This window comes from Homo sapiens, chromosome 7 (assembly GCF_000001405.40).
Source record: "Homo sapiens chromosome 7, GRCh38.p14 Primary Assembly".
Lineage (NCBI taxonomy): Eukaryota > Metazoa > Chordata > Mammalia > Primates > Hominidae > Homo > Homo sapiens.
The window spans coordinates 82,155,565-82,170,397 of record NC_000007.14 but is presented as its reverse complement, the minus strand read 5'-3'; the positions used below and the strand labels follow the sequence as shown (position 1 = coordinate 82,170,397).

Sequence of the window (14,833 nt, the reverse complement as noted above, 5' to 3'; positions counted from 1 at the left end):
TGGGTAATCAGGGCCAATTAAGTTAGCCAAAATGTACTTTATGTTCCATATTACCAAAAAAAAACAAAAACCAAAAAACCCTTTAAAACCCTTGAAATGTTCTCCCATAATTAAAGGTACATTATTTATAAAATACATTAAAAATAGCATTAAATTTTAATATCTGAATAATTTTTGTCGATATTATGAATATACAAGTTGGAAAAAGTTGCTTTTAACTACTTTGAGTTTGTAAGAAGCAGTATACATATTATAATCACCTTGATGGTGGGCAATATGATGAAAGTGAGAATGAATATATTCAACTTCTTAAAATTTAATTTGCTTCACTTTAGCTAGAAGTAATCTCTCTTCTACTCTGGCCTACTTTGAGAAATGTCAGCTGACATTAGCGGTTGCATGTTTTTTTTTTCTTAATAAACTTGTTTTATGAACTAAGAGTTACTAGTTTATAGAAATAGCAGAAATTCTCCTTGTGGTAAGGTCTGCATATCTATCATTTATCTATCCTCTTATAGCCAAGGGGCACAGTAAAAAAAAAAAAATTCCTTAATAATCAGAAAGTACTTCTGTTACATACTTGAGTGATTACAGTTGTAGTGAAAGAAAATCTTTATAATTTCTGATCACAGAAAACTTCCAGACAACTCATTTTGGGGATGTAAACAACTGCCCTCTACCTTCCCACATTTAAAATAGGTTTAGAATGTGAGCGACAGCTTAATTGTACTCTTTGCAAAGCAAAAGTCTCAAATTTGAAGGTATGTAGTTGTGCTTCAGTAGACACTAAACTGAGGTTTAAGAATTAGCACTTCTTTGTGTTTCTATGATTATGTTGAATATCAAAGGAAAATGCACTAAATGATATTTAATTCATGTATATAATAGTCTTCCATTCTTGATACTTGTGATATTATTTATTTTTACTGTTTATCACTTATTTATATATTTTAAACAGTCTACTAATGAGAGACTCTATTTGACAACTGCCAGTTTGTTTGATTCTCTACTGAACTGATCATATCACTTAACTTGATTGGTATTAATATTATGTAGGTATTGGCTTTGTCTACAACCTTTATCATACACAGGTTAATAAAGATCAATTTGCTATCCATGATATATTAAGGAAAAAATCAATGATTAAGCTAAAAACATAAGCTCCTAGAGCATCGAGCAAACTGTAAGCTCATCTAGTGAATGAAGAGGCTTACAATATACTTAGTTGCTTTTAGATAAAAACGATTTTTTTTGTTTTTGCAAATAGGGAAAAAGCAGCAAAACAAATCTAGCTAAATATATGTTTGATTAACAACATTAAATATAAATTACTCTTCCCTTATGTCCCACAACATAAAGCGTGCATGGTAAAAGCAGTGTAAAGTCATAATAGATGTATGGCTAGATCATGTATTCTGCCTAGCATAGATATAATACCCTTGGTGCTGTTTTAGTTTGAATCTTCAGTAATTCGGAGAACTCAAAACAGACACACAAACTCAGCCTCTGAAATATATAGATTATACATTCCCTGTTCAAAGCACCCTTTTTCTTTGCCTTAAATTCATTTGGTAGTATTTTAAGTAGTCATTTATTAGTTGTATGTTGTTTTCACTTTTCTAAAGAGCAATAATGTGGAAAAAAATAACTTGGCAAGTAGGGTTGTAGTAATGCCTATATCATTGTTGTTTCATTTAACTATTATTTATTAATTTCTAGACATAAGGTTTCATTTCCTAGACATTGTGAACTCTTTAATATTGGGCTCATTAACACTAACATTTGGCAATTATTTTGTTTTCTATATTGAGGTAATGGGTAACCACAACACAAACACAATACAAAAACTCTAAATTCAAGTTTGCTATTACCATATTTTATTGAATGTAAATCATCAATTGTAAGGCACTTAGTCATTCTATTTATTTTAGTTATTTCTAAGAAAAAGCCACTTGGCCGGGCATGGTGGCTTACACCTGTAATCCCAGCACTTTGGGAGGCCAAGGTGGGTGGATTACTTTAGGCCAGAAGTTCAAAACCAGCCTTGTCAACATGGAGAAACCCTATCTCCACTAAAAATACAAAAATTAGCTGTGCGTGGTGGTGCATGCCTGTAATCCCAGCTACTTGGTAGGCTGAGGCAGGAGAATCACTTGAACCTGGGAGGTGGAGGGTGCAGTGAGCCAAGATCATGACACTGTACTACTCCAGCCTGGGCAACAGAGAGAGACCTCATCTCCCCCAAGCCCCCACCAAAAAAGCCACTTAAATTATGATGCATCAGCAATTGTATGCTGTATTCTTAGAGATGTCAAAAAGTGAAAAAAATTATCTTGAAATGTAACCCTTATTTTCTACTTTTTTGGTGCCTCTATCCAAGTAGCAGTACTGCTAAAAAAACATTGTGCAAGAGGACAAATCAGTCCCACAATAATACAAAAGCCATTACTAAATCTTCTATGGTGAAATAGAAAATGAATTATTTGCCCAGTAAGTATTAGGAATTCTTAGCAAATGGTGGTCACCATGTGGGAGAATTCTTGAAGAAATTCTGTTCCTAATTTCCCCCTTGGTTACCTCACAATTTATTTAGGGCCTGTTGACATACTGATTGACATCAAAAGAGACTGTTAAAGGGAAAACAAGTTAGACCACTTAGAGTCCTGTCAACTCATTTCCTGAGCATCCTTCCTGAAGGACCGTGAATGATGTTGACAGGACACAGGTCTGTCACAGTTTGCACATTGAGAATTGCTATTTCCCATATCTAACCTTGGCAGCCATACATAGTCTTTATGATAGCCCTTCCCTTTGAAATGCCATAGAGTGATAGAAGGTTTAGATAGTGGTCGTTTTTGTGCTTGGAGAATAGAACCTCAATGAAGACTATCTAATCTTAAGACTCAAATAAGTAAAAAGTACAAAAATAATACATTCCTCTCAGCTTTTTTTTTGTTCCTAATAAACTAGGTGGTGCTTTAGTGCACAGATACAGCAAGGTTAAATAAATCCTTCAAGACCAGAGCAGAATACAGTTCAAATTCGTGGTTGAAACTTATAAATCATTAACATTAAATCTCTTGTTTTGTGAAAGCACACAAAACAATTGTAAATTTTCTCAATATTTTAACCAAACATTTAAAAATGGTTAATTTGAAGATAAATTTTATCATCTTTCAAAAGGTCCTTCTTTTAAACTTTATAATTCTTTTATCTTTTAAGGTATTTAACAATGTGCATCTGTGCAATATTTCTTTAATGCCATCCTTTAATAATTTAACACTAAGATGATTTAGAAGGCAGACATAATTTCCTAAAAGGTACATTAACATTTCAAAGAGCAATGTAATATTCTGATTCTTCCCTCAAGTGTAAGTAGGCAAGTTTCATTAATATTACTTAGGCAAAATGTTGATTAACCTTCCCTACTGTGTAATGTAGAGAAATCTCATGAACAACAAGAACAAAAGGCAAAGCACTAATATGCTGGCAACAACAAAGGACTTATGCAATTCACACTCTCTCTCAGCTCCATTCAATTCCCAACTGAATACACAATTGAGGGAACAAAGGGCGTACACCCTAAATGGATTAAGATTTATGTGGTCATGCATTTACAAGTTCAAACTAATATTTGTAAATAAGCTATGTCTACCAGCTGCCTGCTAGGTCTCCATACAATTTATGGGTGTTAAAGGTGACATTTCATGTCACTTATGATGGACAAATTATTCTATTAAGGGCAGGTGGGAGAAGCAAAAAAGAGCTTGGAAAGCTAATTGTTCTGCATGAAATAATTGCTATTTCTACCAAACAGATCTTTTCCAATTGCATTTCAAATCTCATTTGATTGCATTGCAATGGTTGGTTAACTAAAGCAATTTTGTTTCCAAGGAAGCTTGCAATATTAATTGTACTTACACATGTATAAACATAAGGGGTGTCTAATTTGTATTTTAATAAGTAGGATCTTTATGTATGGCTTATTAGCACCAGCTTGTTACTGTGCAGGCAGAGTACAGACGTCTAGAAATTGGCCGGTAAATAAAACATTTGAAGAGTCCCTTTTAGCTTCAGCTTCACAAAGTAAATTAGAAGGTGAAAATGTTTCTAGTGAAGTTGTACGTTATTGAGTGTCCGTCAGGCTAATTTAGTTCTCCAGTTATAGCTTTAATTTTATAATATTAAAATTACTTTGCCAAATCATATTTTGAAATGTTGATATTTTAAATTTTGTGTTTATGCGAGTTAAACTAATAGGCACCGGCATTATGTATTTAATCATTTCATCTATCCTTATTCATTTCATGAAATTGCATCGTTTTTATTGATTGTAGCAGAAACATTTTTGAATATGTGGAATGGGAAAACACACTGTATTTGTTTTACTTAGAATCGAAGACAGACAGTCACTTGGTATGAGGTCTTGGATATTGAAAGAACTGACTTTTAGGGATAAAAAGTGAGAGCGTAGCATTGTCTTAATGAATAAATAAGTGAATTTTAATAGATCACCAAAATGATTTTAGGCTCTGGCTTTATTTAGTCTTTCTTAGTTTCCACCTTTGGTTGAAACACTCTTGAAATCAAGAGCTTGCATATTTTAATGTTTTTGCAACATTTCTGCTATGTAGGGAAACAATTTTTTGTTACGGCTTTTTAAGAGTCTTGAGACTTTATCTTCATCATAAAGATAGATTAAAAGCCATAATGCAAAGCTCATTTACTCCAAAATTCTGGAAAACCAATGTAATGTAAAGGAGTCAGGCGTATTTGTGTGCCTTACTGTTGTTGTTCATGCATACGTATAAATGCCATGGTAAGAGTATTACAACACCAGCATAAAAAATATTAACCATGGGCTTTAAATTGTTAGTTATGCTGGGTGATAACCTATCTCTTTTGTTTTTTATATTGAAAAGAAGCAAAATATTTAATCATTAATTACCTAGTCAAAAACACTGGTTTCACAGTTAACAATTTTTAATATTTTCTAATGATTTTACTGACCTCACTTTCCATTTCTATTAAAGCCAAAATGACAATAGTACGTGATAGTACAGTGGAAGCCCCTGCAGTCAGACATCATGATGATATGTCCTGTGATAAAGTACATGTAGATATAAATGAGGCTGGGTAAATTTCCTTCTTTCTCTTCCTTCCCTCTCCTCTCAGGAAAGGAGGGAAAAGTTAAAAGAGGACAAACACCCTTGGCTTAGGAAATGGGGAGGTAGAAGGTGGTTCTCTATATTTTCAGGACCAATCCGCTGCTTCAATATCCTGGGATTGAGATGATGAAAATAGTGCTAAATTATTGGGAGATTCCTGGGATTGCTGCCAATGTCCTAAAAATTTCAGCCATGCAGAGCTGAATCATCCTCATTGATGTTTAGTCTGGAGTAGATTACTGCCACCAGCTGGTACCGAATTGCAGCTGTCAAAAGAGGGTTTTTGAACTCCAATTTCATTAGCCTCTCCGTAACTTGAGCTACATTTTATTAAAATTGTTGTATACTGCTTATTTGCATTAAAATGGGAGTGTACTGTATTTCTGAACTGCAAAATAAAAAAATTAAGAAAAAAATACATAAGCATTACAAATTACTGCAATTTTCATTTAATGCATAATCTAAGAAGATTTACTCCATATACGTATTTCCATCCATTTCATATCCTTGTTCAAAAATCTTCAGTGACTCTCCATTTATTAATAGCATATATTTAGGGTATACTAAGCCCTTTATGACCTGGCCCCATCTAGCCTTTCCTAAATTTTGTATTGCATAATCTCTCCAGCAGCTATTACTCCTGTCCTGAAATTCTAAGCTCAAAGCAGAGTAAATGACTGGACATTTCCCTAGAACAGTATTCTTTTCTTCACTTTCAGACCTTTTGATAATCTCTGCCTAGAAATTTCTTCTTTCTCCAATTTCTTCATATTTTTGATCAACCAATGTTAGATTTTTTGTCTAACAATGTTATTTCTGTTTTATATGCTCCCCAATGCCCAATATATGTTTAATTCAAGTATAGCTCACTGTGTAGTTTTCCTTTCTTCACTTTTAACTGCTAAAATATAAACTTCTTGGGGATAAAACCGTGGCTAATGCATTACTAAGAAAACCATAGTCTAGTCCAATATATGCCAGAGTGGCCTATATACAATTTTTTAATTAAAAAATAATTACTTGTAGTATTAGGATATCTGTTTTTGCTTGTAAGCATTATTGACAATATTACTGTGGAGATAATGAAAATTTGAACTGCACTTTTACATGTCTGAATATATCTGTACACAGCTTTGGTATAGTCATGGCGCCTCAGTCTTGGAGTTGTGCAAATCTACTTCAGATTTTAGGTCTGCCAACAACTTGCTGTGCACTTTTAGCAAAATAATAGCCTATTTGAATATTAATTTTTTTAATCTAAAAACTCTTGGCTCTGTGATCTCCAGCAGCATAATTATTACTGCAAGATGCTTGATAATTGTCTTTCTCTGCTTCTATGAGTACTATCTCTCTTCCAAGGATGATATTTCTAGAAACCCCAGGGTTTGTCTCAGGTGTTCACAAGCAAGTTGGCACAGTCTCTTGATGGATATTTGCCTAGTCTAGTGAGCATCTGCCAGCTCCTATTACTGTTGTACTATGTTTGCCATTGCAACATCCCAAAGTGTGAAGTCTTTGAGCTGGATTCAATGTGCTCTATGCAAAAATGGGGTGAGTGCCCCTATTTCCAACCCAAAAGGTTTTTAATAAGAGACCTGAAGCTCTTTCTCATACTACCTGTGTCACAAAGTTCTGAAGAAAACGGCTCATTCATCATTTATTTAATCATTCTCTCTCTAAAGGCAGAAGTGCCTTTCTTTGTGTGTCTTTATTTCTTACTTTACCCTCATCTTCTCAATGTCTGTATGCATTCTTGTCCATGTATTTCTCCTTCTTTAGGAAATGATAATCAATTGACCTCCAGGAACTGAATGCATGAAAAGACATTCCTGATAACTTGCCATCTCCAAACATATATTGTTATCATTCAGGTTTAGCCTAGAGGGGACCTATTGCTATATACTTTCATGTCTCCAAAAAGTTGTTTTTAAATTAAATGAGATAATTTATACAAATATGCCTAAAATTTTGGAAAGTCTTTAAAAATGATAATTTTAATATAGAGGTACTATCTCCCTTCAGATGTATTTCTTCAAAGAAGTTGGAAAATGTGGAGACTAATATATATTTCCATTTATTGTCAATCCTTCAGAACAGAACCCTAGGGAAATCACTGTATTCCCAGAGATAATTTTTGTATGAAGAATAACATCAGATGCTGGAATAATTTCAATTTGGTGGAGTTATAGATATATTAATGGCTATGTTAATATTACTGTGGGAAAGAGGAAATGTTCCAGGACTCGAAGGCCTGGCCTGAGAGTTTTCTTCCTAAAGGGCTGACACTACAGTGAAAATTGAAGCTTTAAAATAAGGAAGCAAAGTACAAGGCACAGATGATTAATATAGGCATGGGGTGCAGTCACTAGTGGAATACATTTTGACATTGGGAGCTACCCAGGAAAGCTGACCCCGGGGACTGAGGGCTTAGTAGACTGGTTTCAATGGAGAGATAATATTTGTCCAGAGTACTGAAAAGGGTCTGGATTGGGGTTGAGAGAGTGGATATTGCAACCAGAAGCTTAGTCAGAAAAGATGTCTCTAAGTAGAAAGAAGATGCTTTTGAGAGATCTGTCATTTAAACTTAAAGTCTCTTAAAAAAGAAGAAATACTAAAGAATATTCATCTACATTTTTCTTCAAGTTCTTAAGAAGTTTGTAGCTGGATGTCTGTACTGGATTTGTTTACATATTAAAGAAATGCTATAGGAATTGAAAGGAATGACCAGCTCTCCCCTGCTGTGCAAAATGACCTCCTCCTTTAAAGCTCATGCCTTCTGTGGATAGTCTCATCAACTTACAACCTTCCAAACCAGCCTAGCCGTGGATTTCTTTCTTATGCTATCTTCTCTTTCGTTAATCAAAAAGTTTTTTCACTTTATCTTTTCATCCACATACATACTAGCTCCAGTATCTTCCAACATTAAAGAAAAAAAAAAGTCTATTACCCCTTCTAGCTCTGCCACATTTCTTTGCTGTTTTATACTGCAAACCTCCAAAAGTTATGTGGACCTCTGCATTTTTCACATTTTCACCTTTACTCACTGGCCAGCCCACTCCAATTTGACTTTAAATTTCATCTATGGTGAAGCTCTTCTTTGTAGTTAACAACTACCTCTATGTCATCAAATCGAATGAGCATGTTCTATTTATCTTCACACTTCATGTCTTTTCATCATTTTAGTGCACCACTTACTGTATTTCCTTTCTTCAAACACTTCTTTAGTTATCAGGAAACCTCACTTTCCCTGATTTCCTACTTTTCACTACCCATTCCTTTTCAGTCTTTATTGGTACCTTTTCCTTTACAGTACCTCTGTGTCTTTAATGTTGTCTAAATTTAGGGCACAGTCTTTGCCCTCTCATCTTTAATGCCCATATTCCTCCAAGGACACTTGATCCATATTGTTGGATTTACATGTAATAACACCCAAACCTCTTTTCTGAGCTTTAGGCTCATTTATCCGATGACATGCTTGCTGTTTTCATTTACCTGTCTCACTGGCATGTCAAGACTAACATTCGCAAGTGAACTATTATTTCTATTACTTTTCTCCATCAGCATCCTGATCTTCTGTTAAGTTTTGCATCTCAAAGGATCACTTTCTCCTCCAGTTAATATAGCTCAAATTCAGGAGTAATCTTAATTCCTTTCTCTGCCATAACTCCACATGTAGTTAATCTGCAAATTTTGTCAATTCCAACTCCAAAATTTACCAAGCAAGCATTCATTTCTCTTCATCTCCACTAACAACATTTTTCCCCAGAAAACATTCATATCCTGCAGGCAGCATAATCTTGAGATTATTAATCAAATTATGAATCGGAATCCACTCCACTATTCTTTGGTATCCACAAAATTGTTTTATAGAATTCTAATAATGAGGTTCAGTACATGCTACCCCAAAATATTTTAAGCTGAAGGAATCAAAGAAAACCATGGGGGCAGGGAGGTCTCTTTGACCTTCCCTCATGTCTTTCTTTCCTGAAGCCATAAAACCCTCAGAGAAAGGAAGGAAAGGAACATCCTCATCTCTGAAGATACAGGGATACAAAGAAAAATCTCAACAAACAGGTCTTGCTGAGTTTCCCCCAGCTTATCTCCATCAGATGAAGCTTTTTTAATCCAATCAGACTTTTCCACAACTATCTACTTGCCCATCAAACCTAGCATAAAAAATACACAAGGTGCCCTGTTTCTTTGGGTCTTCATTTCCTTATGAAGGCTCTCGTGTCACATAAAACATATATTAAGTAAATGTATAGCTTTTCTATTGTTAAACTCTTATTATAGGAGTCTCAGCTATGGAACCTAAAATGGGATGAAAAGATATTTTTTCCCTACAATAGTGACCCAGCATACACATAGGCAAATAAGATTTTTAGTCAGTTAAATAGAAGAGAATGATGAGATTTTTTTCTTGGAATTAAGAAACAATTTTATAAAATAGTAGAAAATGCCAGGTGTGGTGGCTTCTGCCCATAATCCCAGCACTTGGGAGGCCAAGGCATGAGGATCACTTGAGCCCAGGATTTCAAGATTAGCCTGGGCCACGTAAGGAGACCTTGTCTCTACAAGGTCTACAATTAAAAAATTATCTGGGCATGGTGGCACACACCTGTAGTCCCAGCTACTTGGGAGGCGTGAGCAGTGATTGTGCTACAGCACTCCAGCCTAGGTAATGGAGCATTTCTTCTCACCTTCCACATATCTCCCAAATCTTATTAAATTATTACTTTTACATTAAGGTTTGTCTTATGTTCTATAATAATAAAAATTCTGACAGTATTTAATACTGATTTTATATTTTGATGGATTAAATTTTATCAGCAATACTTTTATGATAGCCCCTTCATTACTTTATTTCTTTTTTAATTTTTTTCTTTTTAATTTCATAATTTGATTGGATTTTGTTAAGTATGTTGACCAAGGAGGTGGTAGAATGCTCTAATCTGAGTTGTTGTATGATTAAGAATATCTGGCCTTTTCATTTTGGACTTGAAGGTTGCCCTGGCTAATTATGTATTATTTTCCTCAAAATTTTGGGACATTGCTTCACTGTCTTTTGTCATTCATAGAGGCTAGTAGGAAGTCTGAAATCAGTCTGTTTCCAGTTCATAGACTCCTCCTATATTGAACTGATTTTTTTCCCACTGGTTTCCGAATGATACATTCTTCATTCTTGAGATTGAAGTAGGAATAATACATCTTGTACATCTTATTTTTGATTGTTTGGTGTCTTTATATTAAAGTTTTAATTTTATTTCAGAGATATAATGTTTCTGCATATTTTTGAGAGTGTGTGTATGTTCTCTCTTCATCAGGAACATCACGTTAATTGAGCTACATTTTCTGTTTTCTATAACTGGTATTTTCTCTTTATTACAGTCTTTTTTTTAACATTTCATTTTGCATGATTTCCTAAAGCCTGTCACTAATAATGTCCTTTTCATATGCATCTGTGCTTTGGCTGTGTACATGTCTTTCTTCTCCATTCTTATTTTCACCTGATTTTTTTCTCTGTTTTCTGGCAACTTCCTTGTCAACTTATATCGGTTCATAACATCAGATTCTGAACCCCTTTATCTTTTATTTTCTTTCACTTTTTGGGGAGATCTCTCATCACCATTTTGAAGAACAGATCTGTAATTTATCTGAGACTGAAGAATAATGGGTATTATTCCTTTTATTTTAGGATCTCATGTGTTTGGTTAGTTTTTCTTCTTTCACCTTTTGAAAAATATGGATATGGACGGATTCCTGAATCTCTGAATAAGCTAGTGATTTGATGGAATATAGGGAAGATTAAAAGGAGAAGATGCTGAGGTAGCTTGGAAACTTGATGAATAGTCTCAAATATCTTACAAAGTGTGCTTCCTTTCAAACATTCCAGTCAGTTTTTTTAGCATTCAAGCAGTTGATAAGACTTAGGGTAAAAAGGATTAAGTCATGGTTTGTCTTGCAATTTGATGATTACCATTTTTGCTTTCTTACTGGGATTTATTTTGTTTCATACTTTTAGCTAGAAGTTATTAGGAAAAAGTAGAAAGCTGCAGGTAGTACAATTAGCTTGTACTTCAAAGCCAAAATAGGCAATGTCAACATAAGTGTTCCTGAAAATATATGCAGCATCTGATTATCCCCTAGATACCTGCTAGCTATTCTAAATTCTGGTCTTAAGTTATTAGAAAATATGAAGAAAAGAAAATATGATGTAAACCAGTACAGCAATACAGAGAGCAGAAAATACTCTGATATTTAAACAGATACCCTAAAGTTACCATTTGCACATGAGATATATTGATTATACAACATAGAATTTACTGTGCATCTGACTCTATTAAATAGGATATTTGCTGTTTAACATAAAGTCTATCTTATTTTTTGAGCCATGAAGTAAGTATCAAAACTATCATGTGTAGAAGTAACATATTCTAATAAGTAGGACCTCCAGCCAAGATGACAGAAATTTAGTCATTTTTCCATTGTGTAACTTTCAGCCAATTATTTAACCTCTAAGCCACAGTTTCCTCATCAATAAAATAGGACTAATATTGTTTCCAGTAGCACAAGTTATTTTGATACTTAATTGAAATTATTCACCTAAGACTTCACTGAGGCTTTTGAGTAGACTCAGGCTTAAATAAAGGACAATGAGTAATGTCACATTGTTTACAAACTGATATTCCCATGTGAGCTAAACAAACATAACTCAACTTTTATTGGCAATCAAATTTACTTTCTTTTTTTTTTTAACTTGGTTTCCATTTCCCCTGTTTGCTTTGTAGTGGAATCTGCAAGGTATATAGCAACCTGTCATTATCAAACACATTTCACATACACATTGCCAATACATTTCATTGAGACTGATTGTGTTAGCAAAAGTGCTAATTCCCTATTGGAACATAATTTTAAAGCTTTGCAAAGTGAATACATATGAACTATTAAGTAAGGAGGGCAGTACAGAATAAAAATATCCATTTTGATAAATTGTATTCTTGCTTTATGCAAATATATGGAAACATATATTATAAACATTATATATATAGTTTACATATGTTTGTACAAAGCAAGAATATAATTTCTCAAATGAATATCCAATTTATTCATTCTGATAAATATCCAGTTTATCAAAATAGATATGTTTACATATATTCAGCATGCTGAAAACATGTTTTCATATGTAAACATTTGTATGTGTATATATATTCAGCTATGCTGAATATATATATGTAAACATATATGTTTATTCAGCATGACTTTTAAGCTCTAGAAATGTCCTGAAATCATTACTGCAATCTTAGTGTTTCTATAAATGTTGGAGTTTGTTACCTTAGAACTCAACAATTGGTGAAATCTAATACATTTTATCTTTTCATACTTTTATTTGAAAATCTGAGGTATTTATGTTCTGAGCATTTTGGGTTTTGAAACAAAGAGCATTAGTTACACTCAGGAGAGGGTAGATTACAGAATGAAAGTTGTAATAAATTTAAACTATCTGTGTGGCCCTATTGCTAAATTCTTTTTTCAAAGTCCTATGCTGAAAATGACTAGATCATATATTCAAGATAACGTAAGCCTGCTTCTTTGGCTAGGAGGGAATGGAATGACCTGACAAAGAGTATTGGTGTTTCTGTTATTTTAGTATCATAGATGTTGATCCTGAGGCTTCCCAGAATTGTCTCTATTTTTACAAGGTTTTCTCTGACGTTCTGATTCATAAATTTAATAACCTGGATTTTAATCCTCGAAGTTTCTTCTGTCTCACAAGTCTTTATTTGTGGTGGCAATGGGAAATGGTGGAATACATGGATATGGTGGAAAAAGACATGAATAATTTTGATCCACATATCAATAAAATCACATTATAAGCCATTTTCATCAAACTGCCCACAGGATAAGCATGAAGAGAACGTTGTAGAAATTTAGATCATGGGATTCTCTGGTGTAGGGGCTTTATATGGCCTACTTGATTTTGTTTCTTTTCACAGTATTCTGAAAATGTCAAGGATATTTCATTGATGATTATAAATTATCTTGAGCCATGCTCTGTTGACTCACAGTAAAAACAGCATGACAAGAAAAGCCAAGGTCTAGCTACAAAAGCATTGCTTGGCCATGTTGCAAGCTTTGTGAATTTAGAAAGACAGGCAATTGTACCATAATTCATAGCTATGGCTGAGAGAGCCATGGAGCCGTATCCTCCAACAGCTTTACATTCCTTTAGAAGATGTAAGATTCAAGGCTACTTGTTGAGCAAATTAAATTCATCAAAATATTTTTATTTCAAAGAATATAAAACATCTATTGTGTGGTTTGATAGGAAATTTACTTAATTATGTTGATGCTAGTCAGTTTGGTAATGTGGAAACTAAAACATTTAAGCAACTTTCATGACAGATTAATAATGCATTTATAAACAGGGGCCTTTGAGAAAAAGTTCAACCACATTTAACTCAAGAAAAAGTTAAATCTACTCAGCTTTTCATTTCAATTTACTTGTTCACAAAGAAAAAGATTTAAAAAAACGTTTAATATCTTGATTATACTTGATATTATGCACATTGATCTCTCTTATTAAAAGAAAATAAATTTATTTACTATTATACTAAAATTATAGTTCTTATTTATATACTTTTAAAGATATACAGTCAAATAAAATGGGGAGGATATATAATTTTCTTTTTTAAAAATAAGTGGACTAACAATATATTACTTGCGAATGTAGAGCAAAAGTTGATTACACAGAGAGAACTATTTGAGTTGCTTCAAGATTGATTTATCACGTTCTCCCTTGGAAAAGACTGATCTATAGCAGTAGTTTAACTGCTTTCAGGCTCCCTTGGAGCCGTATTTGTGGCCCACAGCTGGGTTATAAAGGGCTTCCTGCTGGGATAACTGATACCAAAAGTAAATAGAAAGCTAGAGTAAAGAGAAGTCAACAAAACAAGTAACTAAATAGCCATGATGACACTGATTGTAACTAAATTTAAAAGCAAGATTTTCTGAATTAAAGTAAAAGCATGGAAAATTAAGTTAATCACATGGTATACCAACATATTTCATTTAAAATTATTTTTTAAAAGTATGCCATTAAATATTATGTAATTACATTTCAGGTACAAATATTTTAGACCTTATATGCTAACACCAAATCTTATGGTGATATAAAAATTCATTTGTAATTCTAAACCCACTTTTTAATTTTTAGTAAATTGAGTGTTACAAGAATTAGGTGAGAGGGTAAGTAAAAATATCAATGTGTGACTATTAAAAGTATCAAAGTGAATACATTGACTAGTATGCAGGATATATTTCTTAGTATTATTTTACTGACTACTTGACTGTGTTTTTCCTCAACTTGTAGTTGTCTGTTTCAGCTGCTCTTTGCAAAATACACAGTAATTAAGACAGTAATTTTTATACTCTTTCTTCATGCTGATGACATCTTATATTCTGCACCTTTTCACTCTTTGTCATTTTTTAAAATGTCATCAGCATTATGCTTTGGTTGGCTAGTAGTAGGGAGATTTGCGGAAGCAGAGACCACTTTAGAGTCAAATCTAGCTTTGATGAACCAATTTTCTGTTTGCTAATAGCAAAAAATACCACCTGGGAAGCTCCAGGAGGGAACCTTTTCATACAGAAGTTGAGAGAGTTAG

The 14,833-nt window shown here is 33.5% G+C and overlaps 1 protein-coding gene across 16 annotated transcripts in view; it reads left to right on the top strand.

Annotated features, from left to right (window-relative positions):
* CACNA2D1 (calcium voltage-gated channel auxiliary subunit alpha2delta 1) overlaps nucleotides 1-14,833 on the top strand; it is a 497,513-nt gene that overhangs the window by 273,559 nt on the left and 209,121 nt on the right. The gene's annotated exons all lie outside the window — the stretch shown is intronic.